General features: G+C 39.0%; 1 protein-coding gene across 18 annotated transcripts in view, besides 4 other annotated features; it reads right to left on the bottom strand.

The window, feature by feature from the left end:
• GALK2 (galactokinase 2) overlaps positions 1–24,973 on the bottom strand; it is a 211,967-nt gene that overhangs the window by 117,624 nt on the left and 69,370 nt on the right. For 14 of the 18 annotated variants that reach the window (NR_147895.2, NM_001001556.3, XM_047432349.1 and 11 more), the window contains 2 exons: positions 14,176–14,266; positions 10,750–10,896 (listed from right to left, as the gene is read on the bottom strand). Coding sequence is in view for 17 of the 18 variants with exons in the window: in NM_001001556.3 (NP_001001556.1) it covers positions 10,750–10,896; positions 14,176–14,266 (238 nt within the window). In the remaining variant the exon portion in view is untranslated. Of the gene's footprint in view, positions 1–10,749; positions 10,897–14,175; positions 14,267–14,377; positions 21,098–24,767; positions 24,913–24,973 lie in introns of those variants that run through there. The other 4 variants (NM_001352048.2, NM_001352047.1, XM_047432351.1 and 1 more) reach the window with 2 other exon arrangements.
• Positions 6,931–7,225: a silencer, noted in NCBI's record as "tiled region #5673; HepG2 Repressive non-DNase unmatched - State 15:Elon". NCBI's record gives its function as "represses a minimal TATA promoter and a strong SV40 promoter by Sharpr-MPRA in HepG2 cells {active_cell/tissue: HepG2}" and the evidence as "EXISTENCE:reporter gene assay evidence [ECO:0000049][PMID:27701403]".
• Positions 6,931–7,225: an enhancer, noted in NCBI's record as "tiled region #5673; K562 Activating DNase matched - State 14:Gen5'". NCBI's record gives its function as "activates a minimal TATA promoter and a strong SV40 promoter by Sharpr-MPRA in K562 cells {active_cell/tissue: K562}" and the evidence as "EXISTENCE:reporter gene assay evidence [ECO:0000049][PMID:27701403]".
• Positions 17,199–17,869: an enhancer, noted in NCBI's record as "OCT4-NANOG-H3K27ac hESC enhancer chr15:49524445-49525115 (GRCh37/hg19 assembly coordinates)". NCBI's record gives its function as "activates a minimal SCP1, AML or CMV promoter by ChIP-STARR-seq in naive and primed H9 embryonic stem cells {active_cell/tissue: H9 hESC(naive and primed)}" and the evidence as "EXISTENCE:reporter gene assay evidence [ECO:0000049][PMID:30033119]".
• Positions 17,870–18,541: an enhancer, noted in NCBI's record as "OCT4-NANOG-H3K27ac hESC enhancer chr15:49523773-49524444 (GRCh37/hg19 assembly coordinates)". NCBI's record gives its function as "activates a minimal SCP1, AML or CMV promoter by ChIP-STARR-seq in primed H9 embryonic stem cells {active_cell/tissue: H9 hESC(primed)}" and the evidence as "EXISTENCE:reporter gene assay evidence [ECO:0000049][PMID:30033119]".

Below are 24,973 nucleotides of genomic sequence, written 5' to 3'. Positions count from 1 at the left end.
AAGGGTACACTCGCCAGCAGTTTTACCACAAGAGTACACCAAACAAAGGAGACAGAGTCATTTATAACCTGACGCGTCCACCCTACTGCTATGTCCGGTTTCCATTGGCTAGTACGGGACCTCACATTCTGTATTTGTCCCAATTGGCTAGCAACTTAGAACTTTTTAAAAGAGGCACGGGCAGACGAGAACAAAGGAAGGAGGAAGTAACTTGTGGAATGCTGAGAAAGGTAAAAACACCTCCAAATAAGGAAGAGGAACAGGCTATAACCTAATGCCCGCTTGGACCAGTATAAGCATGCCAGGGCAAATATTTAGGCTAAATTGTGGGAGCTAAGAACATAAAGTACATTGATTTCTTTATTAGAGCTAGCAGATATTTAAGAATGTTAGCACAGCTCTTTGAATAAATTTTGCTTCTAAGAGAAGTACTATTTATTCCTAATTAGACAGGGAGGAGAGTCTCTTTGAAAAGGAACCTCTACTTTACTTTTTATACCACCAATACAGTCAACAAAACTTCATACAATTACAAAAACTTCCCTGACTACTAATTTATTTTCCTACCTTACCTATTTTCTTGCTAAACTCTTTCCCTGAACTTCATCAAAATCTCCTATCAGGAAGGTCAGAGAACTGTAGGTATTAAGCCAGTTTAACTGAGTCATCCTTGTGAAGTTAAAGGAAGAACTATTCTCACCCTTATTTTAGAAACAGAAACTGAGGCATAGGGAAGTTATCACAAGTTACAGAGCAAATTGGCCACAGAGGGGACAAAGTTAAGTCAGTCTTTCATTGTCTTCCTTACTCTATCAAATATTAGTCTGGGAGTCAGCATAGGTAACTCTTGACCAAGATGGCTACCATAACCTCTGTGAAACAGAAATGCATGAAAATAAATGAGAAACACTTCTGAATTTGGTAGGGGGGTTATCTATCCTTGTATTTTCATCTTTAAGTTATGTTCAATGCACACAACTGATGTAGTAGGTAAAGGCTATGCACATATGTGTAGTACTTAATATCACTTGCATTATTCCAGTTAATTATTTGAATACTGTGTAACACTTAACTTATTGTAGGGTGCAAGTCAAAATCTGGAGGCCTTGAAACACAGTCACTGAGTAATAACGATTTAAGGATCACAACAAAAGTTCAAAACACAACTAGGCATACATATTAATTTGTAGCAACAGTGGTTTCATTTGAAACCACTTGCAAACAGTGACACACACTCCTCAAATCTGCTGTTCCCTAATTATGCTTGTTTGCCTTCGTTTACGCTAAAGGTAAACAAGTATTTAGCCTAGGAAAGAAAACGGAAAAAAAACCCAGAAGTGACCCAAACAACGTCTGCAAAGACAAATAGCTTAGTGTCACATCACCCAAGTGAATCCAAACTACTCAAAATCATTAAAGAAATGATTCAGTCTCCAATCCTACTCCTAAAAAAGGATACAACCAGAGGATCTCTTTTAATTGACAAAACTACGTGAATGGTTTTGTATTTACATTATTAACCTAAAACTTAGAACACATTTAAACACAGGCCACCCAGAGCTAACACTATAGCTTCCTGGTTTTTGTACCAGTGAGCACATGGCTTCAGTCCATGTTCAACACCTAATTAAGAGATTCTTTTCAAAGCTTGTATTCTGGATTTACCATCTTTTCAGAGGCCATACTGCTGCAGTTCATTAGCACTCAACATCTGGCTGGAATGGTTTAAACTACTATTTTCCTTAACCATTATATGGATGAGGTTTTGTTATTCTAAGCAAACTGAAACAATGTCCTTATGTGGACTTCTAAGCATAATAATTAGTGACAGTGCAAATTGGTTTCTGATTTTTCTTATACCATGTAACAAACTATTAAAACATTCAAATCATAGTTTATATAATTTTGAGATCCTTTTCATTTTATAACATAGACATGTCTTTATTCTTTAGGCACAAGGTCTTATTCTGAAGGCCAAGAAATATTTCACTGAAATGCAGCTATATGTGAAGAAAAATACAGCCTTGTACTTTCTCAAGGAAACAGCACTTGTAAACTCAGAAAAGTGAAAATGTGGACATATTTGGCACAGAACTTTGAACATTCCACTTACTCTGTTTATGAACCTTAGAGGTCTCCAGTACAGAACAGGTTTCAAACTTCAAAAACACTCCCCTGAAAAGAGTATCAACCCCTGTCTATATAACTAATTTGCCCCTGAAATGAAGTTAAGTAAATCTGTTCAGGGACTTAAGCAACTAGAAAGCATCCCTGTAGTCAAAAAGTTTTAAAAGGAATTTCATGAGGCTGCAAGAGAATTTCTAGGCCTTGGCTGACACATATTTTAAGTCTGGCTCAGAGAACTGTTAAAATACACTTATGGGTTCACTCTGCCTGAAATGCCCTTGGGCCCCTCCCAGTGCTTTGTTTCCCAGCCTTTCCTTCCTTTAACATTTTCTTAGAACTCACCAATTACTTGAAACTGTCCCTGTTTAACTTCACCAAGGAGACATTATTTCAACCTCTTTATTCATTTACATATAAAATACCTTACACTTTGTATGAGATAGATGGTCAGTTAATAAATCTTCTGTTACTATTCCACTATATGCATTTAAGTTCCATAAGGGCATTGACCATTTGTCTTCCTTCCTTCTTTTCTTTTTTCTCTTCTCTTTTCTTTCTTATTGTTTCCTCTCTTGCCACTGTCAGGGGTATGGTATAATACTCCCAGGTAAAAGAACTTAATCCATGTAAATCACATCTTGCCATCCCCAGCTCACAGCCCTCCAAAGGTTTTCCATTACGCTTAGAATGAAAGCCAAAGAAGATGCTACACACCATGGCCCTTGACCAACTCTCTCAACTCACCTCCCACCTCTCCCCGCTTCTGTCTCACCACACCCCAACCACAGGGACCTCTTATTCCTGAGACATGACAAACTCTCTTTCACCTTAGGGCTTTTGCACTTGCTGTTCCCTCTGACACTCTTTCTCAGCTGCTCACTCCCTAAGGTCTCTGTTCAAATGTCCTCTTCTCGGAGAGAACTTCTCCTAACTCCCTAGATAAAATATACAATTTCCCTTAACTACGGCCTAGCTGATATTATATATTTATTTGTATAGCTCTTCATTATCTTTCTCATACCATCACTTCTGCCAATATGGAAACTCCATAAAAGCAGGGGCACTTCACTGGTTTTATTCACAGTTGTATTTCCAGTGCCTAGAACAACGCATGGCATATAGTAGGTATTCAACAAATGCCACTGAATCACTGCTTTCAAGTGGTAGGTTAGGAAGTTTATCTGTCTTCTTCTCTTGAAAGCACTCCTCACAAATCCAGTATTATACATGTTATTCTGGGCTTCCCAATACAGGATTCTTGATGCCATCTAAGAGATTCCCCAGGTTCCCCAGTGAACTATAACTCTCAAAGGAAGGTTTTATGTCCAATTCATATTCTGGGTAACTCAGAATCATGTAAATTGTGTTTTTGACAAAATGCCAGAGATATCCACATACAAGAATTCTCCCCTACCCCACTATTCCCAGCTGGCTCTTTCAGTCTTCATCAACCAAGATAATATGGGTTTTCTCTTCCTTAGACTTCAGTATGGGGGATGCAGCTCAACCCTATACTTCTCTACTGTACCTCCCAGATCCTCCAAAGTGGGTTTTCTGAATATCACCTGCTCAGTCTACAACCTCATGAATTCAAAATCTACTCCCAACCCCACACCAGCAGAGGGAGGAATTTGTGGATAGATGCTAGTCTAACACACCTTACTACCCAAGACTAGCTTTTAGAGTTGCAACCTGTTTCCCAAGTAGGCCAGCTATTTCTATTCTAAGATTCCTAAGAGGCACTTGGTCCTTTCTTCTTGGCCTCCAAGGACAACTCCAAGAACAGACAGAAACTGGACATCAGAGCAACCCAAATCCCATTCTTACAAAATACAGGCATATCTTGTAGAACACCTCAGCAACTAACATTTTCTTGGCGAAAGATTTTTGATACCCAAACTTCATAGAATGTTCATATCTCTCAAAACAACACTTTCTGAAAGGTGTTTATATAGGAAAACATACATATTTACACCCTAAAACCTAAACACAACATTGTTAACAAAATAGTATGCAGAGTACTGAAATACCAGGTGTCAATACAGAAGACATACCGGTATCACTATATAAAGTAACTGCTTGTTAACAACCATATTAATTGTTTAATGTTCAAGAAAATTGGTTTAAACATTTTTCATGCTACTTCTGTGTGACTTATATAAAGAAAGCTTTACTGTATTTTTGTAACATTGTAGGAAATTAGTTAGAGGTTTTGAGTTGAGGAATAATGCATTATACTTTTTCCTATTTTAAAAAAATAGGCCCTCGCTGAATAATTTTGTGCAGAACATCTGATTTGTTGGAATGGACTACTGCCACTAAATGGAAGATGCCTGTATTTTCTTGGATTCTTCCACCCAAAACCCATCAACAGACCTCACCCTAGGCCATTGATTTGGTCACATTCCAACAGCTCATCTGTTCTCAATCTCTAGCCTTGACTCATTGAATCCCTTCTCATCTCTTCATCTTTCAGGTTCCCCCAGGTGTGGTCATACAGGTCATCTTACTTTTCATTCTATTTCCATTCTTATTTTTCATTCTATTCAGTTCTTCTATCTTTTATTTTACTTTCGCCAAAGTGATATTTGCATATAATCTAAAAGATTAAATAGAGGTAAAAGGCTTATAACAACAACAAAGGCAGCCCCTAGCTCACTCTGTCATCCCTATCCCCAATGCAATGTGTACAACGGCAAATACTTTTGGCTCTTTGCTTTTGCTTCCAATTCCAAATAACATTGGTAAATGTTATTGCCTGTTGTTTCATTTTAAACATTATTTATTGCTTTCCTATTATGATAAGTGAGGATTTTAGCTCTCTTACATCCACCTTTCCTTTACCCTCCTCCACCTTTCTCAATAAAGTTATGCCCAAAATTTTGCTTAAATTCATATTTGTTGTGTTAATTACTGAGATTATTGTTCACTTATGAGCAAAAAAAAATGGTTGATTTCATTTCTGTTACAAACTTTTTTGTTTTTCCTATATTTAATAATTGCCCCATTTCTTCATTTGCTTAGATTTGTATATCTAGCTGAGCTTTGTCATATCCTACAACAGCTCTGTGAAATTACTCTGAATCCATTTTCCACATGGTTGAACATATCAGATTAACCAGTTTTTTTGGCTTTTTTTTTGTTTTACTGATAAGATTATAAGTTCCATCTTTCCCTCTCCTCATTTTAATCTGCACTGCTTTCTAAGCTGCTGGATATTATGGGTGTTATGTTGGAATTCCCCTTATGTTCTACAAATACCAATGTTCTATAAATACCCAACTCCTCTCTCATATATTGGATTTCTCATTTCCTAGTTCCCATGCGATCTTCTTTCTTGGTTTACTCCCTAGTTTTGGTGGATTACATCCTCTAGACTTTTACACTTTACATGTTGAAAATGTTTTACTATACCCTCACATTTGATTAATTCATTTAAACAGATAGCCTAAACTAAAATTTATTAATATTTTAGAGACATTTATCAACTGCCTTTATCTTCCAATACTGTTTTTGAGAAATTAATTTACATTTCTGATCCTTTGATTATGATTTCTTTCCGTTCTTTTCTCTTGCTCTGTCAACTAGCTTTTAGTGTCTTTTCTATAACACTCAAGTTTCAAAATTTCCAGATGATATTCTTTGGTTTGGCCTTTTACATTTATTATACCAAACACCCAGTGAGCCCTTCCAATCCAAATTCACATTTTCACTTTGGAGAAATATTATTTTAAAAAAAAAATCTTCTGGACAGACACAGTGGCTCACACCTATAATCCCAGAGCTTTGAGAGGCTGATGAGGGAGGATCACTTGAGGTCAGGAGTTTGAGACCAGCCTGGGCAACATAGAGAGGCCCCAACTCTATTTTTAATAATAATAATAATTTCTAATAACTGTTTTTTCTGTTTTTCCTTACTAGTTGGATGGATTTCTGGAATTGATCCATAAATTTTCCTGTTTTTCTCTCTTATTGTCCAGCTCTTTTATTCCCTACTATATCAGAGAGTTCTTCCAGTCTGTTCTCTTTTTTTGAGACAAGGTCTCACTGTGTTGCCCAGGCTGGTCTTGAACTCCTGGCCTCAAGCGATCCTCCTGCCTTAGCCTCCCAAACTGCTGAGATTGCAGGCATGAGCCACCATGCCCAGCTGTTTCCAATCTTTTTGCTAAATTTTGTCTTGTCATATTTTTAATATGCAAAAGCTCTATCTTACCGTTGGTTCCTTTTTTAAAAAAGTAACACTATTATTTTTCAAGGACTTAACATTTTCTTTTATCTCTCTGAGGACATCATGTCTTTGATTCTTCTGCTCTCAGCATTGTCTCTGTTTCCTCTAGTTTCCTGTTTTCTCTGTTTTTTTTGTTTGTTTGGTTCATTTTGTAGGTTTTCTTCCAAAATCTTACTATACTTTGATGCCCTATCATATTTAAGAGTGAGTCACTAAAAAGCTTATTAGAAGCTTTGTAAATGGGCTTCTAACAAGGTCATAGAGGAGCTGGAGAAGGGGGTCACCAAATGTCAGTATCTGTATGAACCATCTCTGGGATGGTTAAGTTTCCTTTGAGAAGGATCCTCCAACATTCCTGCTGGAGTGTAGGGTGGTGAGGTTGCCAGTGTGCCAGTAATGACCAGAAGAATGGAGCTAAGAATTTCATTTTTCAGATGCAGAATGTCCTCTAATCTCCCAGTTTTCAAGTCTTTCTCGTCCTGCCTTTCTCAGTGCTCAGTGTCCCCAAGTACAAATGATCTCTGGTTGTTTCTCCAGAGACTCCTGCAAAGATAGGGGGAAATGGTCCAGGTGAAGAGAGGCCTTTTAGGGTCTAAATAGTCCTCACAAAGGCTTTCAGATAAATCCCCACCCACCATATTACCCTGCTTTCTTCCTAAGCCTTGCCAGAGAGCTGTGGGATGAGTCAGCTGCCTTTCCATCTGCAACTCCCTCCGCAGGCACTTGGCTCTGACCTTTCTCCATTCGCCTAAGTCATGTAACATTCCTCTATCCACTTTCCATCTTTGTATTTTGTGGTTTATGGTTATTTATGTCTCCTTGGCTTACCAAAGATAAAGCTTGTGCTTCCTTTTCTTATTTTCCCTGTTGTTTGGAAATGATTTTTGAGAAAAGAAGATTAATTTAGGGACACAGAAAAAGAGTAGGTAAGTCTTATTCTGACATGCTGAAATCAGAAGTCTCTAGATTTTCCTTTTTCATAGATCTTTTGCCACATCATACTCTCTTGTACCAGTAACATTCTGATTCATAATTTCTGGCTTCCAGATTCTCTGGGTGATTAGCCATATTGTTTTCTGGTTTCAGATATGCAACATTTAGTATATTAATGAATTAACAAGTTCCACATCTACTTATTATATCCCATCTGCAGTAATTGTTGTCTGCAACTGAATGGGGTTTACTGGATATGAAATAATAGGAAAGGCTTTAGTCACCAATCTGTTGTGGGACTTAGTGTCCTTATCAAACAGGCTAGTTATTTTCGGTTGTCCCTCTGTTCCTCTATTCTCACACTTCCCCTACCCCAAAAGGCTGACCTCTATGGTAAATTCCCCTCAACTATTCCCACTCATTGCCATTTTCACCTGTGTCATTCTTTCTCTGCCTTGCTGCATTTCTGGCAACATTACTCTATATCCACAGCTCCTAAAGTACAATGGCTTCCAGCTTCACAAGAGAACCCTTCCTAGTTAGTTCCCTTGACCTTACCCACATCTCTGTAAAAGTCTCTTTATTAAACTCTCTTCAGTTATACCTAACATGTCATTTGTTTCCTATGGTAACACTAATACATCAGTAAAAGGAGCATTTTGAACTAGCTCATCTCTAAAGTCCCTTGAATTCTTATATTCTGTGATTTTTACAAGAGTAAAATCACATGGCATTTAAATTAAAGACTGAACAAATTACAGACTTCCTTTCATTCAAGATTCTGTCTCACTCCAGAAAAAAAAAAACTCTCCAAATAATTATGCTCAGTCCTTAGAAAATGTAAATATTGTTAGTACAACTTAGACTAGCTGAGAAAGCCAGGATATACATATTGTTCCCTTTTTGCTTAGGCACTGCAGTAAGATAGTTCCGATAAAAAAATGTATTTGCTATTTCCGACTTTGAAAACAGACAATCAGAATTAATTCTAAGGGTTCAAGTGTTTCTCTTTATCTTCTTTCCTTCCTATTTCTTAGATAGGTATATTATCAAAACACCAGAAAAATAGAAAAACTAAGTTTCACCAATCCTCCCATTAAAAGTGAAATGAATTCCTTGACTTCACACCCTCCTCCAAATACCAAATTATCTTTTTCTATGCATCACCAGACTTTTTGTATCCACTGAACTTTACCACTTTCTTACCCCTTATAGACCCTTCAACCCATTTCCATCTAAAACTGCTCTTGTCAAAGTTTTGTACAACTTCTTTGTTGTGATATTCAATGGATACTTCTCAGAACTTGTGGTAACCTCTCAGAAGCATATGACAACACTACCACTCCTTTCATGAAACATTATCTTCCTTGTCTTTGCTGTTGCCTCACCTTTCTGGTTTTTCTCATACTTACTGGACTACTCCTCAATCCCTTCAGTGGACATCCCTTCCTATGCCCATTCCTCAAATGTTCATGTTTCTTGGGGCTCTGTCCTAGTTTTCCTTATCTTTCCACCTATATTCCAACACCAGGTATCTTGATCCACTCCTATGGCTTCAAAAACAATGATAAACTAATGATTCTCAAATGTACCATCTCAAGTCCAGATCTCCTCCTGACCTTCATATTTTTTTCATAACTAAATACTAAATAACTCCATCAGTATGCCCACAGATTCCTCACACTCAACATTTCAGCTTCCACTCAAACCTATTTTTCCCCCATATCTCTTATTCCAATGAATCATACCAGCCAGACACCGATATAATCTTTGAGTCTTTGCTGTTCCCCATTCCCATGCCCAATCAATGACCAAGTCCTACTGATTCTGAGATCTTGAATCTATCTAATTCTAACCATTCTCATTGCCACTACTCTAAACCAAATCACCTCCCTACTGCTAAAACCCTGAAATGCAGACTTTGTAATATAGCCAGGGAGATCTTTCTAAAATACAGATATGATCACCTTACCTCTTCCTAAAACCCTGCAATGGTTTCCCACTGCTATGAAGATGATACCTAAATTCCTTAACAAAGTTTACAAGGCCCAGCAACTGATCTCCTGCTCTGTTATCCAAATTGCTGTATGCTTCAACCATATTGAGACATTTTTTTTGTTACTCCAACAAGCCATGATTGCTTTTACTCTGGACATTTCCACATGATGTTCTCTCCACCCAATACATGCTTATCTGATGTCATCAGTGTTATCATGCCATCAATATCTACAACTCCTTTAATCTTTGTTGTCTCCATTTAGATGTCCTATGCTCTCTAAATCTGGGTTATATCTGCTCCCATAGAAAACTACTTATCCACTTACTATATTCTATTGCAGTTGCCTATTTACTTGTCTCTTTTCCCTTTTAGACTATAAGCATAGTGAAAGTTGAGACTATACTTATTATATCTCCAATGCCTTGAACATTATCTGGCACAAAATAGCCATTAAATAAATAATGGTTGAATGATGAACAAACAAATGAATAAATAAACAAATCAGATTGAAAATTGTACCAGGGGAAACACATTTTACACATGGACTTCCTGTCCCTTGCTTCTTCTCTTCTCAAAAAATAATAATAATATGTAAGCCCCCTTTCCCTCCCAACCAGTCATTGCTCACTAAGGGCTAATTAATGTACACTTACACAGGACAGCTAAAAAGAAGGATTCTGTCTGAACCTTTGCTTTCTCCTTCATTTCTGCCTTCCTCCTATACATAAAATTTTCAAACTGAAAGTTTAAACATGCTTAAAAGAGACTAAGCATGTGGCTGCCTTTCTCTTGATCTGTCCAAACCATCCGTAAACCTGGTAGTATATGTACATGGGGTAAAAAGAACCTATGATAACATTTTATTTGAACCAGAATGCTAAAGCATTAATTAAAGCTGAGCACACCTGCTCTAAACTGCAGAGTCAGAGATTTATGTGAACTTATAAACTTGAGGCTTTCTGACCTCTTGTACAATTTATATTTCCTTTAAATAAGCATTTCGTCTTGTAATGCAATATTTTAAAGTTTATTTCTGTGACTAATCTGCTGGCATATTCAGTTCCTTTATTACCTAGTCTTTACCCTTGTAACCCACTACTTGTCAAATTTTTAATTTAAGGTTTTGGGTGAAAATAAGCAGGCTCAACCATGAGAGGAAGAATTTCTTGCCCTAAATTTAACTTGTGAATGAGGTGATCTAAAATGATATCCATACATTCAAATCCCATATTTAATACAATGTATTTTTATACAGTTATTCACAGATCTATTCACTCACTGTTTGGAGGGTATAAGCTACTTTATAGTGATTTATCACTTGTTAAGTTACAATGCTTGCCCACATGTGCAGTCCTTTTAGAGAAGACAGTTTTTCAATCAAGGAAGGCATTCTGATTTGAGATTTGGATGCTAATGATTATTAGGAGAGGGTTCTATGAGGTTTCCTATCAAAGGTAGTTACCTTGGATAGATTCCTTCCCAGCACTGTGAGCGTCACCAAGCCAGCACAACAGACCAAAGCACTGGAGCTGGAGAGGCCAGAACTTGGTGGGATATTTCCATCTACCAGGCAGTTCATTCCAGTCAGGTTACTAAGACCAAAGTGTTCCTAAGAATATAAGGAAAAACAGCAACAGTAATTCAGTATTGAATTCAAGGAGTAGTGAAAGCTTCTTTCATTCCCCAGAGAACAAAAGTCTATCAATAGACTTATAATAGTTATAGAAACTACTTATGCAATTCAATTTAGTTGAGACTATATGTGACATTTTATTTAATGACTCTTAGCCACAGAGTAATTCCCTTAAATGCCTTTAATTTTCTTGCCTTGAATGTTCTTTTTCTTGAATATTAATTGATTTGAATATGGAAAAAATATAAAATTGCCTTGAATGTTCTTTTTCTTGAGTATTAATTGATTTGAACAAATATGGAAAAAATATAAAACAATTATAATCCAATTTGTCAAGTAGCAGGACAAGAAATATACAATTATCTGTGAGGTAATTTAAATCTCCATGCAGCACAACTCCAGCATTCTGTTATTATAAAAGTCCAGCCCCCAAGCAGTGACTTGTTTCTAAGGAGTGCCTTACTTTAGAAGGTTCTCTGAAAAAAAGGAGTTCCAAACATTCTCAGTTCTGTTTTACTTATGAAAAAACCTAGGCACCAAGAGATGAAGAAACTTTCCCAAGATGACACATAGGGAGACGAGAGTAGGGCCCAGGTCTCTGAATCCTGTTTGAAAACTTTTCCACTGCAGTTAGAAACCTGAGCCAGCAAACCGTCATTGTGATTTAATATGCCAGCTACATGAGAAAATCCAGATGCTTACTACAGTTTATAGATACAGTTTAGCCATATGGTAGCTTTAAAGATAGTCAAATTAGAATTCAGCCACAAATGAGAATACAGACCCTAAACAAGTTGAGGAAACTCTATTTCTACAAATAGGAAAGCCCAAAGAAATAATCAGATTCTGATTTAAATATGGAAAGCTCTAGTATACTTACATTACTTTCTAACACTAGGACACTTTGGATGATATCATATCATAACCTTTGTGGTTTAAGTTTACAAATAAATTCAAGTCTACCTCCTTCTCAAGAAAAAGTACCATAGTCTTTGCAAATTACTCAAATGACTGAAGATTAACATATGAAATACTATTACCTAATTATGCATTTCATCATACCTATTATACAAGGGAGAATTTCAATCAGCTAGCTAGAATAACTAAAATAACAACAAAATTCTGCAAATAAAAGACCTTTTTCCTTAATTTTTTGTCTGTCTGTCCTAGCTAGCAAAATTCTCGCACCACAATAAGAAGAAATTTAGCTGGGTGTACTTCTCTTCCTGATTTCAAGTCATCTAAAAATTTCCTTCCAGATATACAAACAAACTATAAACTGAAACTCTACTGTTGCCAATGCCCTTTCATACAGAATATCAGACAGCTTGTTTAAAAAAAAAAATTGAAGAATACAATATATTTAATATAAACTGATCAAACACAGGTGTCTTGAGTGGGAATCACACTTAAGAACTTATCAGCCGGGCGCAGTGGCTCACACCTGCAATCCCAGCACTTTGGGAGGCCGAGGCGGGTGGGTCACGAAGTCAGGAGTTCAAGACCAGCCTGGCCAATATAGTGAAACCCCGTCTCTACTAAAAATACAAAAATTAGCCAGGCGCGGTGGCAGGCACCTGTAATCCCAGCTACTAAGGAGGGTGAGGCAGGAGAATCGCTTGAACCCCGGGGGCAGAGGTTGCAGTGAGCCGAGATCACGCCACTACACTCCAGCCTGGGCGACAGAGCAAGACTCCGTCTCAAAAAACAAAAACAAAAACAAAAACAAAAAAACAAAAACAAAAAACAACGTATTATGCAATGTTTAAATGAAAATGTATAACAAATTCAAAATGCAAATGGGTATATGCCACATTCTGTAATAGCTCTATGCCAAAAGGATAACATGTTCAATGTAATATAAGTGAATTATTCTCTGAAACTTTCTAGTATTTGAATTTGAAAGTTTCTGAACAGGCTAGCATTTAAATTACCTTTCTGCCAAAAGTTCATTGTATAAGTTTGCTTTTGCACATAAATTGTCAAACCAAACAGGAAGGCTTTAAAACCTGAAATGCTCAAAAATAACACAAAGCAACATGCATTATTTAGGCCACTTTACCCATATGCTGCAAAAAGGCATGTTGTTACAAGGAAGATTAAAATTGCATTTGCCAGGCAAATGCTTCCAAATACTGTAATTCCCACTAATGCATATGATAAGCCAGATGATTTGAAGATTTAAAACCTGCCAATAACTTTTCCTGTAAGTTATTACCATGTGTCTGAGAGAAAGGAAAACACAAAAGAAAGAAAGAAATGAATTCATTAACTTTAAGAACAAAAACCACCACTGTTACAGTATAGGACTACACATTAGAAATAAATTTGATGTATTTCTGTAATGGATGTGCCACTAAGTCCTAGCTGCTCATTACAAAGTTTCAGATAGGACTGCCAGGCAGTAAGGAACACAAGCTCTCTAAAACATGGGTCAGTTTGTTTGTTTACTTTTAGCTCACAAAGGCAAAATTTACTTCTTATTGTCCTACTATGATTCTATGCAAGTCACTACATCTAAAATAATTATTGCAATATAAAAGTGGCTCTAAAAACAGCAAATATCAATTTTCTTTTGGTCCTTGATACTTTTTCAATTATGAGAGTGAAAACATTTTATTTTCTTGTTCTTGTATGTAACATTAGAGATTTTCAAAGTAATTATTCAATGTTTCTTGGAAAATACTTATACTAATACATTTCATTATATCTTTTTTTAATCCCATCTGAAGTAGCAATAACAATACTAGCTACCATTTATTAAATGGCTACCATCAAGCTTTATGTAATTCTTTTAACAACTCTTTGTCAGGATAGCAATGACATCATTTTATGGATAAATCTGAGACTTAAGAGGTTAAATTACCACAGCTGAGAAGAGCCCAGATTCAAACCTGGGCTGACTCTAAATCCTATTACAGTATACCCCTATACATCCCAAGTATAAATGTAAATAATAGTATTAAAACATATCCTCAAAAGTATGTTTAAACAAAGATTTTAAAACCAGACAGATGTTTGTCAGATGCACCTATTTATGAACAGCCAGCTGTATAAAAACCACTACTGCCCCCTGTGAACACCACCCCAAAACAGTCATATCTTCCCCACTCTCTGAAACACAAACTAGCAAAATAGAACAGAAGCATCGGTTAGTACTGTAAGGAGATGAAAAAGATGTAGTAAATAAAATAAATCTGACAGAATACACATGATAATCTCAACTGGTAGTAAGTGCCTTATAAACCAATTTACCTGAATTCCTTTAAGTCCACATAAGAAATAGTTGTGCCACAAAGGCTTGGTTTTATCAATCTGGATGTTATTAGCACTAGTACTGAAGTCCCTGCGAAGACAAAAGACACCATTAATTTAAAATCTGTAGGCCTTGAGCTGCAAAATCAATGGATGACTGCTGCCATCTTGTGCCAACACAGCGATACTGACTCTCCTTTACCTTTTATGTTCAAACTGTGTGTCTACAGCAAAACATCTCCAGCTGCTAAGAGTTAAGAGAGGAAGTTGCAGTGGCCTTAGTGACTAAACTACCTCCAACTGACCCTTTTTATTTCCTGAAACACAGAGGAAACAATATATTTCAGAGTAATCTACAACTATTTTCTCTTTCATGTTGGTCCTTGTTAAACTGGTGTAAACCACATGAATGCTTATCCTCTGGGCCTGCTGTTTGGCACACCCCCAAACTGAAACAAGAGTACTCAAAGCCATCTCTGCCACCCATCCAATTTTACCATCTGCACAATTTAAGAAAAAAAAACAAATAAACAAAATGATGATTTTGATGCATAATCAATTTAACAAAATAAGATTCCATGAGTCTATACTAATGTAAGTTAACAAATGAATACAAAGCTAAATGAAGAGGAAAGAAAAACTCTTTATTATGGTAAAATGCTAACTAATAGATATAGAAGGAATGATGTGAATAGAAAAGTCACTACATGGTAAACTGTATGATAATTTGTTTCAGGAAACAATCATCAATGGACTGTTAAACTTAATAAACTGGCTAAACTGGGCTAAACTTAGTAAAAATGTGATGAGAAGCAAGATATTTACAGTATTTCCCCACCAGACACTTATGAACTACAATGGAAAAACATAGTATCTGGGCCAGGCGCAGCAGCTCACACCTCTAATCTCAGCACTTTGGGAGGCCAAGGCAGGCGGATCACAAGTTCAGGAGTTCGAGACAAGCCTGGCCAATATGGTGAAACCCTGTCTCTACTAAAAACACAAAAATTATCTGGGTGTGGTGGTGGGAGCCTGTAGTCCCAGCTACTCAGGAGGCTGAGGCAGAAGAATCGCTTGAACCCGGGAGGTAGAGGTTGCAGTGAGCTGAGATCGTGCCACTGCACCCCAGCCTGGGCGACAGAGCAAGATTCCGTCTCAAAAAAAAAAAAAAGTATCTGATATGGTTTGGCTGTGTCCCCACTCAAATCTCATCTTGAATTGTAGCTCCCATAATTCTCACACGTTGTGGGAGGGACCTGATGGTAGGTAACTGAATCATGGGGGGTGGATCTTTCTTGTGCTTTTGTCATGATAGTGAATAAGTCTCATGGGATCCGCTGGTTTTACAAAGGGGAGTTCCCCTGCACATGCTCTCTTTGCCCGCTGCCATGTAAGATGTGACTTTGCTCCTCATTTGCTTTCTGCCATGATTGTGAGGCTTCCCCCGCCATATGGAACTGTGAGTCAATTAAACCTCTTTCCTTTATAATTACCCAGCCTAGGGTTTTTCTCTATTAACAGCATGAAATATAGCATCTTTATGGTAGAAAGATCTGACAGATGCCACCTTAATCAAATGATCAAAATTAACACCACCAGTAAAGGGATGTTTTGTGCCTCCTTGATACAATATACTAAGCATACATCCATGGAATGTGGGATTTCCTTATGCTATTCTTGTGTCTTCTTTGAAAGTCAAAAAAAATACTTCAAAATGAAAAATAGGCAGATAAATAAATAGGCTCCTAAAATCAGCCGAAGGACAATGTATGTGAAATGGGAGAATCAATTAAAGAGGAGGAAATGAAGCAAAATTCCCCATATTGACTGAGTGCTCTAATATAACTGACTAAATATCTACTATATGCCAATCATTGTAATAGATGCCTTCCATGGATTATTTTAACTCAATAACATGGATACATTATCTCTTTTAAAATATATTAAGTGGCTAACCACTTAAGCATACAAAGCATGCATGGGAATATAAAGGTAAAAGGCAGAAGGCTTGCCTTTTAAAAGTTCACAATCTAGCCAAGATGACATGAACATAAATAACTACCAAACAGTAATGGCACGTGATAATAATACTGGGTGGCATACGTGGCTGAGAGAGTATTATTTCTAAAAGTCCGCATTTGATAGAGAGAGGACGTCTTCCTGGAGGCTCAAAGAGGTTTAGCTGCTTTCCAAAAATGCGTAGTCTGACTTCAGCTCATCAGAATTTTACTCTACTGTCACTCACAGAAGTTGAAAATATGTTGCTCACCATCAACAAGAGGTCACACAATTTGAAAGCAGATACAGTTATGTTAGCATATCTGACAGGTTCTATTCCTAGTTAAAAGGACATCTTGAAAGTCACTAAGAAAAGAAAAACAGAAAGAGATTTTGAGAGGGGAATATGAACAGAGGGGGTAGGCAGGTATGAGGAGAAAAAGAGGAGGATAGTTGCACATATGTAGGAAGCTACATGAGCAACGTTCCAGAAAGAACTGTGATATAATTTGGATTTGCATCCCTGCCCAAATCTCATGCCAAGTTGTGATTCCCCAGTGTTGGAGGTGGGACCTGGTGGGAGGTGACTGGATCATGGGGGTGGATTTCCCCCTTTGGTATTGTTTTCATGATAGAGCTCTCACTAGATCTGGTTATTTAAAAAGTCTGTGGCACTTCCCACCTCTCTCTCTTCCTCCTGGCTCTGGCCATGTAGACATGCCTGCTTCCCCTTTGCCTTCCACCATGCTTGTAAGTTTCCTGAGGCCTCCCTAGCCATGCTTCCTGTACACCTGTAGAATTGTGAGTCAATTAAACCTCTTTTCCTTATAAATCACTCAGTCTCAGGTATTTCTTTATAGCAGTGCAAGAATGAACTAATATGGAAAATTGGTAACAAGGACAGGGGCATTGGTATAAAGATACCTGAAAATGTGAATTTGCATTTGGAACTGGGTAACAGGTAGAGGTTGGACCAATTTGGAGGGCTGAGAAAAAGACAGGAAGATGAGGAAAATTTGTAACTTCCTAGAGACTTGTTGAACGGTTGCTTTGAAAATCCTGATAGTGATATGGACAATGAAATCCCAGCTAAGAAGGTCTCAGATGAAAATGAGGAACTTCTTGGGAACTAGTGTAAAGGTCATTTTTGTTATGCATTAACAAAGAGCCTGGAGGCATCTAGGGGTATGTGGAACTTTGAACTTGAGAGTGATGGTTTAGGTTACTGACAGGAGAAATTTCTAAGCAGCAAAGCAGTCAAGATATAGCCTGCTGCTTCTAACAACCTATGTTCATATGCGTGAGCAAAGAAATGACCTGAAACTGAAACTTATATTTAAAAGGGAAGCAAAGTGTACGAGTTTGAAAAATTTGAAGGCTGGCCATGTGGTAGAAAAGAAAAGGCCTTTTTGGAGGAGGAGTTCAAGCCAGCTACAGAAATTTGCATAAGTAAAGAATAGTCAAATGCTGATGGCCAAGACAAAGGGGAAAAGACTTTCAAAGCATTTCAGAAACCTTTGCAGCAGTTCCTTCCATCACAGGCATGTAGGTCTAAGAAGGAAGAATGGTTTCATGAACAGGGACCAGGGTCCCACTTCCCTGCACAGGCTCAAGACACTGCTCCCCATATCCTGACCCCTCTGCCTCCAGGGGTGGCTGAAAGGACTTCAGATACAGCTCAGGCTGCTGCTTCAGAATGTGCAAGCCATAAAACTTGGTGTTTCTATGAGGTGTTTAGCCTGCCAATGTTCAGAGTGCAAGAGTTAAGGCTTCGGGAGCCTCTGCCTAGATTTCAGAGTATGTGTAGAAAAGCCTAAATGTCTAGGCAGAACCCTGCTGCAGGAGCAGAGCCGTCATGGAGAATCTCTACTAGGGCAGTACTGAAGGGAAATCTGGGGTTGAATCCCTCACACAGAGCCCCACTGGGGCACTACCTAGTGGAGCTGTGAGAAGAGGGCCATTGTCTTCGAGACTGCAGAATGGTAGATCAACCAGGAGCTTGTACCATGCACATGTAAAAGCCGCAGGTGCATGAACACTAGCCCATGAAAGCAGCCTCAGGGGCTTTACTTTGCAAAGCCTCAGAGGTGCAGCTTCCCAACCTTAGGAGCCCACCCCTTGCCCCAGTGTGCCCTGGAAGTGAGATGTGGAATCAAAGGAGATTATTTGGAGCTTTAAGATTTAATGACTCCCTTGCTGGGTTTCAAACTTACATGGGGCCTGTAGCCCCTTTCTTTTGGCTAATTTCTCCCTTTTGGAAAAGAAGTATTTACCCAGTGCCTGTACCCTCACTGTATGTTGGAAGTAATAACTAACCCATTTTTTATTTTACAGGCTTATAGGCAGAAGGGACTTGCCTTGTCTCAGATGAGATTTTGGACTGTGGACTTGTAAGTTAATGCTGGAATGAGTTAAGACTCTGAGGACTGTTGAGAAGGATGACTGAATTTTGGAATGTGAGTACCTGAGACTTGGGAGGGGCCAGGGACAGAATAATATGGTTTGGATTTGTGTCTCTGCCCAAATCTCATGTCAAATTATAATCCCCAGTTTTGGAAGTGGGGTCTGGTGGAAAGTGATTGGATCACAGAGGTGGATTTCCCCCTTTGGTACTCTTCTCGTGATACAGTTCTCACTTGACTTGGTTGTGTAAAAAGTGTGTAGCTGCCCCCAGCCCTCTGCCTCCTGCTCCACTCATGTAAGACATGCCTGCTTCTCCTTTGCTTTCCACCATGTTTGTAATTTGCCTGAGGCCTCCGCAGCCATGCTTCCTGTATATCCTGTAGAGAATCATGAGCCATTTATACCTCTTTTATTTATAAATTACCCAGTCTCAGGTATTTCTTTATAGCAGTGTAAGAATGGACTAATACAAACTGAAAAGTGCCAGCTCCCACAGAATTAGAAGTATGGCTCAAGTCTGTCAGAAAAAAACAAAAAAAAACTGCTTTTTGATTAGTTATTGATCTTTGCTCTTTCCCACATCCCTATCTCACCTCTCTACCTAGCCTTTTCCTGAGGTTCAAAACCACTCATTTTCCCACCAATTCTCAACCCTGCATTACATTATCCATTTGCTTTCTCTACCCCCACTTCCATGTTTGTAGAATTCTGAGAAAAGAATCCTGAAAATGAGCAGACATGACCCATTATTACATTAATACTTTCCACTTACATATTTTATTCATTTACTTGTTCTTCAAAGAAACATCTGCCCAGTGTCTACCCTGTGTGTGTCTGGACCTGGGGTAGGTAGACCATTATAAGACACCTGTGTGTGTCTGGATCTGGGGTAGACCATTTATAATAAGAGTAGCATCAAAAAAAATATGAAGTCGGAGGCACAGAAGAATGCCTGTAGGCATCTGGTACTTGCCTCCTCCATAAAGAAGAACCAAAATAACAAGTTGACAATCATAGTTAGAATAGATCATGTAAGAGAGAACACTGAATTCAACAAGAAGTGACAAGGAACACCTAAGGCAAGGAAGGAGAGGAAATCAGGGCAGCCTGCTCAGCCAGAATCAGCTGGGAGCCTGGAGAGGCTCTTCAGCGTGGGTAAAGGGCAAGAGAAACACCCCAAGTGGTCCACATTACTATCAAGGACTCCTGCAATCCTAGCCATAGGAGAGCGCCTCAACCCTTTAGGACCATGCGACTGACAGAGGAACTACTTGGAAATCACATGATGGCATTGCTCCAAAGAGGAAATTCATGCTGGGTTCCACACACCCCCAAGTCTTAAGCAACTTGCACATCACTATCCTGAGATCCCAGACTCTACTAGACCGCATCCTGCCATGGGGATCAACAGCTCCTGTCTCCACATCCTTGCAACCTCTCTGATGTCCCCTACCCACAGACACCACGAGTGCTAACTGCTGTTGTCAGAGCCAAAATGTAAGCCACTGGCAATAACTACAATACTCCCAGCAGTGGGACTGCTGTGTATTTTCACGAGCCCTAAATACAGACTCCCTCACTCACAGCAACTTCCATTGCACTGCTGAGGCCAAACCATGAGCCACTGGCAGAACCCTGGTATTCACAGCAGCAGAGCCACCATGGATTTTCAAGTGCCCCGAGGAAACGCTACCCCACCTGCAGCCACTACCTGGAGCCAAAGTGCATGCTCCCCAGCCAATTGTCTACGACTGCTGCCAGTAAAAGCAACCCCACTCTCCCCCGCAGCTGGGCCACATCACAGCCACTGCCACCACCACCTGGGCATTCCACTAGGTGGCTTGGTTCACTCTACTACTGCCTACCACTTGCATACACCACCAGGAGGCCTGAGGATAGGCCCGCCCTGCCAGACTCCACCCCTATGCCTAAGCATACAATCCAGGGTACTAAGAATGGCTGTGACCAATCTACCACCATTGGCACCTGAATACTCTCCCAGAGACCTAAAGATGAGCCCACCCAACGTACTACTACTACCACAGCTAGCTTCCACCTGCATGCAACACCTGTGGCACAGGGGACCAACTCACCCAGCCTAATACAGCCACCAACAACAATGCAGAATGCTTTGGAGCCAGAGGGTTGTTCTACTACTGCTACTGCCATCACACAGGTGACACTAACTACCCAGGGGTCCAAGGACCCAGCCACTCACCCAGCTCACTGCTACAACTGCCAGGATCCACAGTCTCCAACAACAACCATATCCTAAGTCACTGAGGAAATCAGAGACCAGTGATACTGTTTATAGCCAAAGGAATTATACAGAGACTACAATACTACAAGTGCCAAGAATCAATGCCAACATGCCAACCCAACCAATATCATAGGTACATCTTTGAGAAAAAGTCACTGTCTATAAAAGCAAATTCAAAAACTTGGAAGAAGCAAAACAATTCACCAGCAACAGATTCCAATGACAAAGAAATTTATTAAATTCCAGAAATAGAATTCAAAGTAATGACATTTAAAAAGCTCAGTGAAGCTGGGTGTGGTGGTTCACACCTGTAATCCCAGCACTTTGGAAGGCTGAAGCAGGCAGATCACTTGAGGTCAGCAGTTTGAGACCAGCCCATCCAACATGGTGAAACACCATCTCTACTAAAAATACAAAAATCAGCCAGGTGTGGTGGTGGGTGCCTGTAATCCTCAGCTACTCGGGAGGCTGAGACATGAGAATCACTTGAACCCAGGATGCAGAGGCTGTAGTGAACCAACATCATGCCACTGCACTCCAGCCTGGGCAACAGATTGAGACTCCATCGCAAAAAAAAAAAAAAAAAAAAAAAATATATATATATATATATATATATATATCAGTGAAAGACAAGAGAACACAGATACAAAGAAATCGGAAAAAAATTCTAGAATATGAAAAAGAAATTTAACAAATGGATATCATAAAATAAACAAAAATATTGGAACAGAACAATTCACTGAATGAAATAAAACATGCATTTGAAAGCCTCAACAATAAACTAGATCAAGCAGAAGAAAGAATTTCAGTACCTAAAGATAGCTCTTTTGAAATAACACAGTCAGACAAATATAAGGAAAAAATGATAAGAGAGAATGAAAAAACCTTATGTAACTTATGAAGCATCATAAAGCAACCAAATATTTGAATTTTTGGTGTTCAAGAAAGCAGAGAAAACCAAAAGGATAGAAAACCTACTTAACAAAATAATAGCTGAAAACTTCCCCAGTCCAGTAACAGATTTACATATTCTGATACAGGAAGCTCAGAGATCCCCAAACAAATATGACTTTAAAAGGTCTTCTCCATGGCACATTATAGCAAAGTGGTCAAAAGTCAAAGACAACAAGAAAATTCTTAAAGCAGCAAAAGAAAAGCATCTAGACACTTACAAAGGAGCCCCACCAAAACAACAGTGGATTTCTCAGCAGAAACCATACAGGCCCTGAGAAAATGGGATGATATATTCAAAGTGTAGATAGAAAAAGACTGGCAGCCAAGGATACTATACTCAACAAAATCATCCTTCATAAATGAAGGAGAACTGAAGTCTTTCCTAGAAAAACAAAAGCTGAGCACATTTATCATGAATGGGCTGAACCTACAAGCAATACTTAAGGGAGTACTATACCTGGAAGCAAAGGGATAATATATACACCAACAGGAAAACACATAAAAGTATAAAGCCCACTGGTAGAGCAAACTCATGAATAAGAAAGAGAAAGGACTCAAATGTTACCACTACAGAACACCACCAAACCACAACAAACAAGAGAGAAATAAAAAAAAGAAAAAAGATATATAAAACAACCAGAAGTCAATTAACAAAATGACAGGAATAAGCCCTCCCATATCAATAATAACATTGAATGTAAAAAGATTAAATTTTCCAATTAAAAGATACAAACTAGGATAACTGATTTAAAAACATGACCCTATAATAAGCCCCCTACAAAAATAAAACCTCTTTTCATCTGAAAAAAACACATATATATTGAAAGTAAGAGAATGAAAAAAATATATTCCATGCAAACAGAAACCAAAAGCAAGCAGGAATAGCCATGCTTATATCAGATAAAATAGACTTTAAGTCAAAAAAAAGTAAAAATAGACAAAGAGGGGTATTATATAATGACAAAGGGATCAAATTAGCAAAGGATATGACAACTCTAAACACATATACACTCAACAACAAAGCACCCAGATATATAAAGCAAATATTATTATGACTAAAGGGAGAAAGACAGCACAATACAATAATACTTGGGGACTTCAGCAGCCCACTCTCAACATTACAGAGATCATCACAACAGAAAATTTAAAAAGAAACACTGGATTTAGACTGCACTACTGACCAAATAGACCTAACAGAAATTTACAAAACATTTCATCCAGCAGCTACAGAATATACATTCTTCTCATCAGCAGATGAAACATTCTCCAGGATAGACCATATGTTAGGACACATAACAAGCCTCAACAAATTTCTTAAAATGGAAATCATGTCAAATATCTTCTTAGATACAACAGAATAAAACTAGACAGTGTGTATCAAATACCTTCTTAGATACAATGGATTAAAATTAGATAGTAATAAAAAGAGGAACTTGTGATACTGTATAAATACAAGGAAATTTAACAGCATTATTCTGAATGACCACTAGCTCAAGGAAGAAATTAACATAGAAATCAAAAAGTTTATTCAAATAAATGAGAACTGAAACACAACATACCAAAATCTATGGAATATACTAAAAACACTGCCAACAGAGAAGATCATAGCAATGAATGCCTACATCTAGAAAGAAAGAGTTCAAATAAGCAACCTAATTATGCATCTCAGGGAATTAGAAAAGCAATAAGAAACAAAACCCAAAAATAGTGGAAGGAAAGAAATAATGAAGATCAGAATAGAAGTAAATAAAGTAGCTACTAAAAAAAAACATAAAGGGTTAAAGCTTTTGGAGGGATAGCAGATAAGGTGGCTGACTAGACACAGCCAGGAAGCACCACTCCCACTGAACGAGACTAAAAATTAAGTAAACTAATAAACTTTGAGCAAATCTTAGACAGAAAACACCAAGAGTAGATAGAGAAGCAACACTGACACTGAGGCTGAAAAGAGAAGAAGCTGGGAACCTTGTGTGGGGTTGCTGAATGCTAGGGCTCATGCTCAGCCCTGAAAGCCTCCTGAGGGAGGGGTTAGTGAAGGGATAGTGGGGCAACCCACTCTTGCTGCAGATCTCCAATCCTAGGTACAAGAGATCCTATGACGCCCATAAACATTTAAACTGGCAAGGGGATCTGCCTGGAGAGTAGGCAGTAAAAGTACTCCAGCCTATATGGAATGGAGGTTTGGCACACATGACAGCCGCAAGCAGAATACAGCCATAGGTGCCCATCCCCCAACGCTCCCCTTCTTCCTCTGAGTAACTCTAACCCCAGTTGACCACTGGGTCAAGAGAACAGGGCTGACTTTCCAGTGGGAATGGGGCATGTCTGTTCTGCAGGCACTCCTGCCCACCAGCCCCTTCCAAGGCCTCTGCCCAGCTGCTCTAACAGGAACATGAGTACAGTGCAGCCTCCACTGCCCAGTATGGGTGCTTTATCAAAAGGCCAGCCTGAGTACTTTCTCAGAGGTCTGGAAGCAGTTGGAATCCCCCAGCACAGTTGGTGCTGTGCCAAAGGGAGCCAAAAGATGGAGCTGTGGGCCAGTCCCAACAGCTCAGGGCTGCAGCATGCAGCTTGGGAATCTTGAGCCAAGATCTGTAGCCAGTGCTAGAGCAGGGAAGGAGCCCACACCCTCAGAAGACAGAGAGGAGTGAAACACAGAGGCTTGTAAGCCAGCACCAGAGAAGGGCATCTCTCCCTCTACAGCAGCAGTCCCCAACCTTTTTAGCACAGGGACCAGTTTTGTGGAAGACAATTTTTCCATGGATGGTGTATGTTGGGGAGGAGGGGATGGTTTCAGGTTGAAACTGTTCTACCTCAGATCATCAAGCATTGGATTATCATAAGGAGCATGCAACCTAGATCCCTCCCACATGCAGTCCACAATAGGGTTCATGCTTCCATGACAGTCTAATGCCACTGCTGATCTGACGGGAGACCGAGCTCAGGTGGTAATAATGCTCACTCACCCACCACTCACCTCCTGCTGTGTGGCCCACTTCTGAACAGGCCATGAAGCAGTAACAGGGATTGGGGAACCCTGCTCTACAGGACCAGTCCAAGAATGGTGTGGCCTATCTGCAGGTCATAGCCTCTGCCTGAGGGAGCCCTGCAGCCCGGAAGACCTAATTAAAGAAAAAGACAGGATCAGTGCCAGTGATCAGAGGCGGCTTCCTCAAAGCTCAG

Source organism: Homo sapiens, chromosome 15 (genome assembly GCF_000001405.40).
Source record: "Homo sapiens chromosome 15, GRCh38.p14 Primary Assembly".
In the NCBI taxonomy this organism is placed as follows: domain Eukaryota; kingdom Metazoa; phylum Chordata; class Mammalia; order Primates; family Hominidae; genus Homo; species Homo sapiens.
This window is presented reverse-complemented; position numbering and strand designations above follow the sequence as displayed.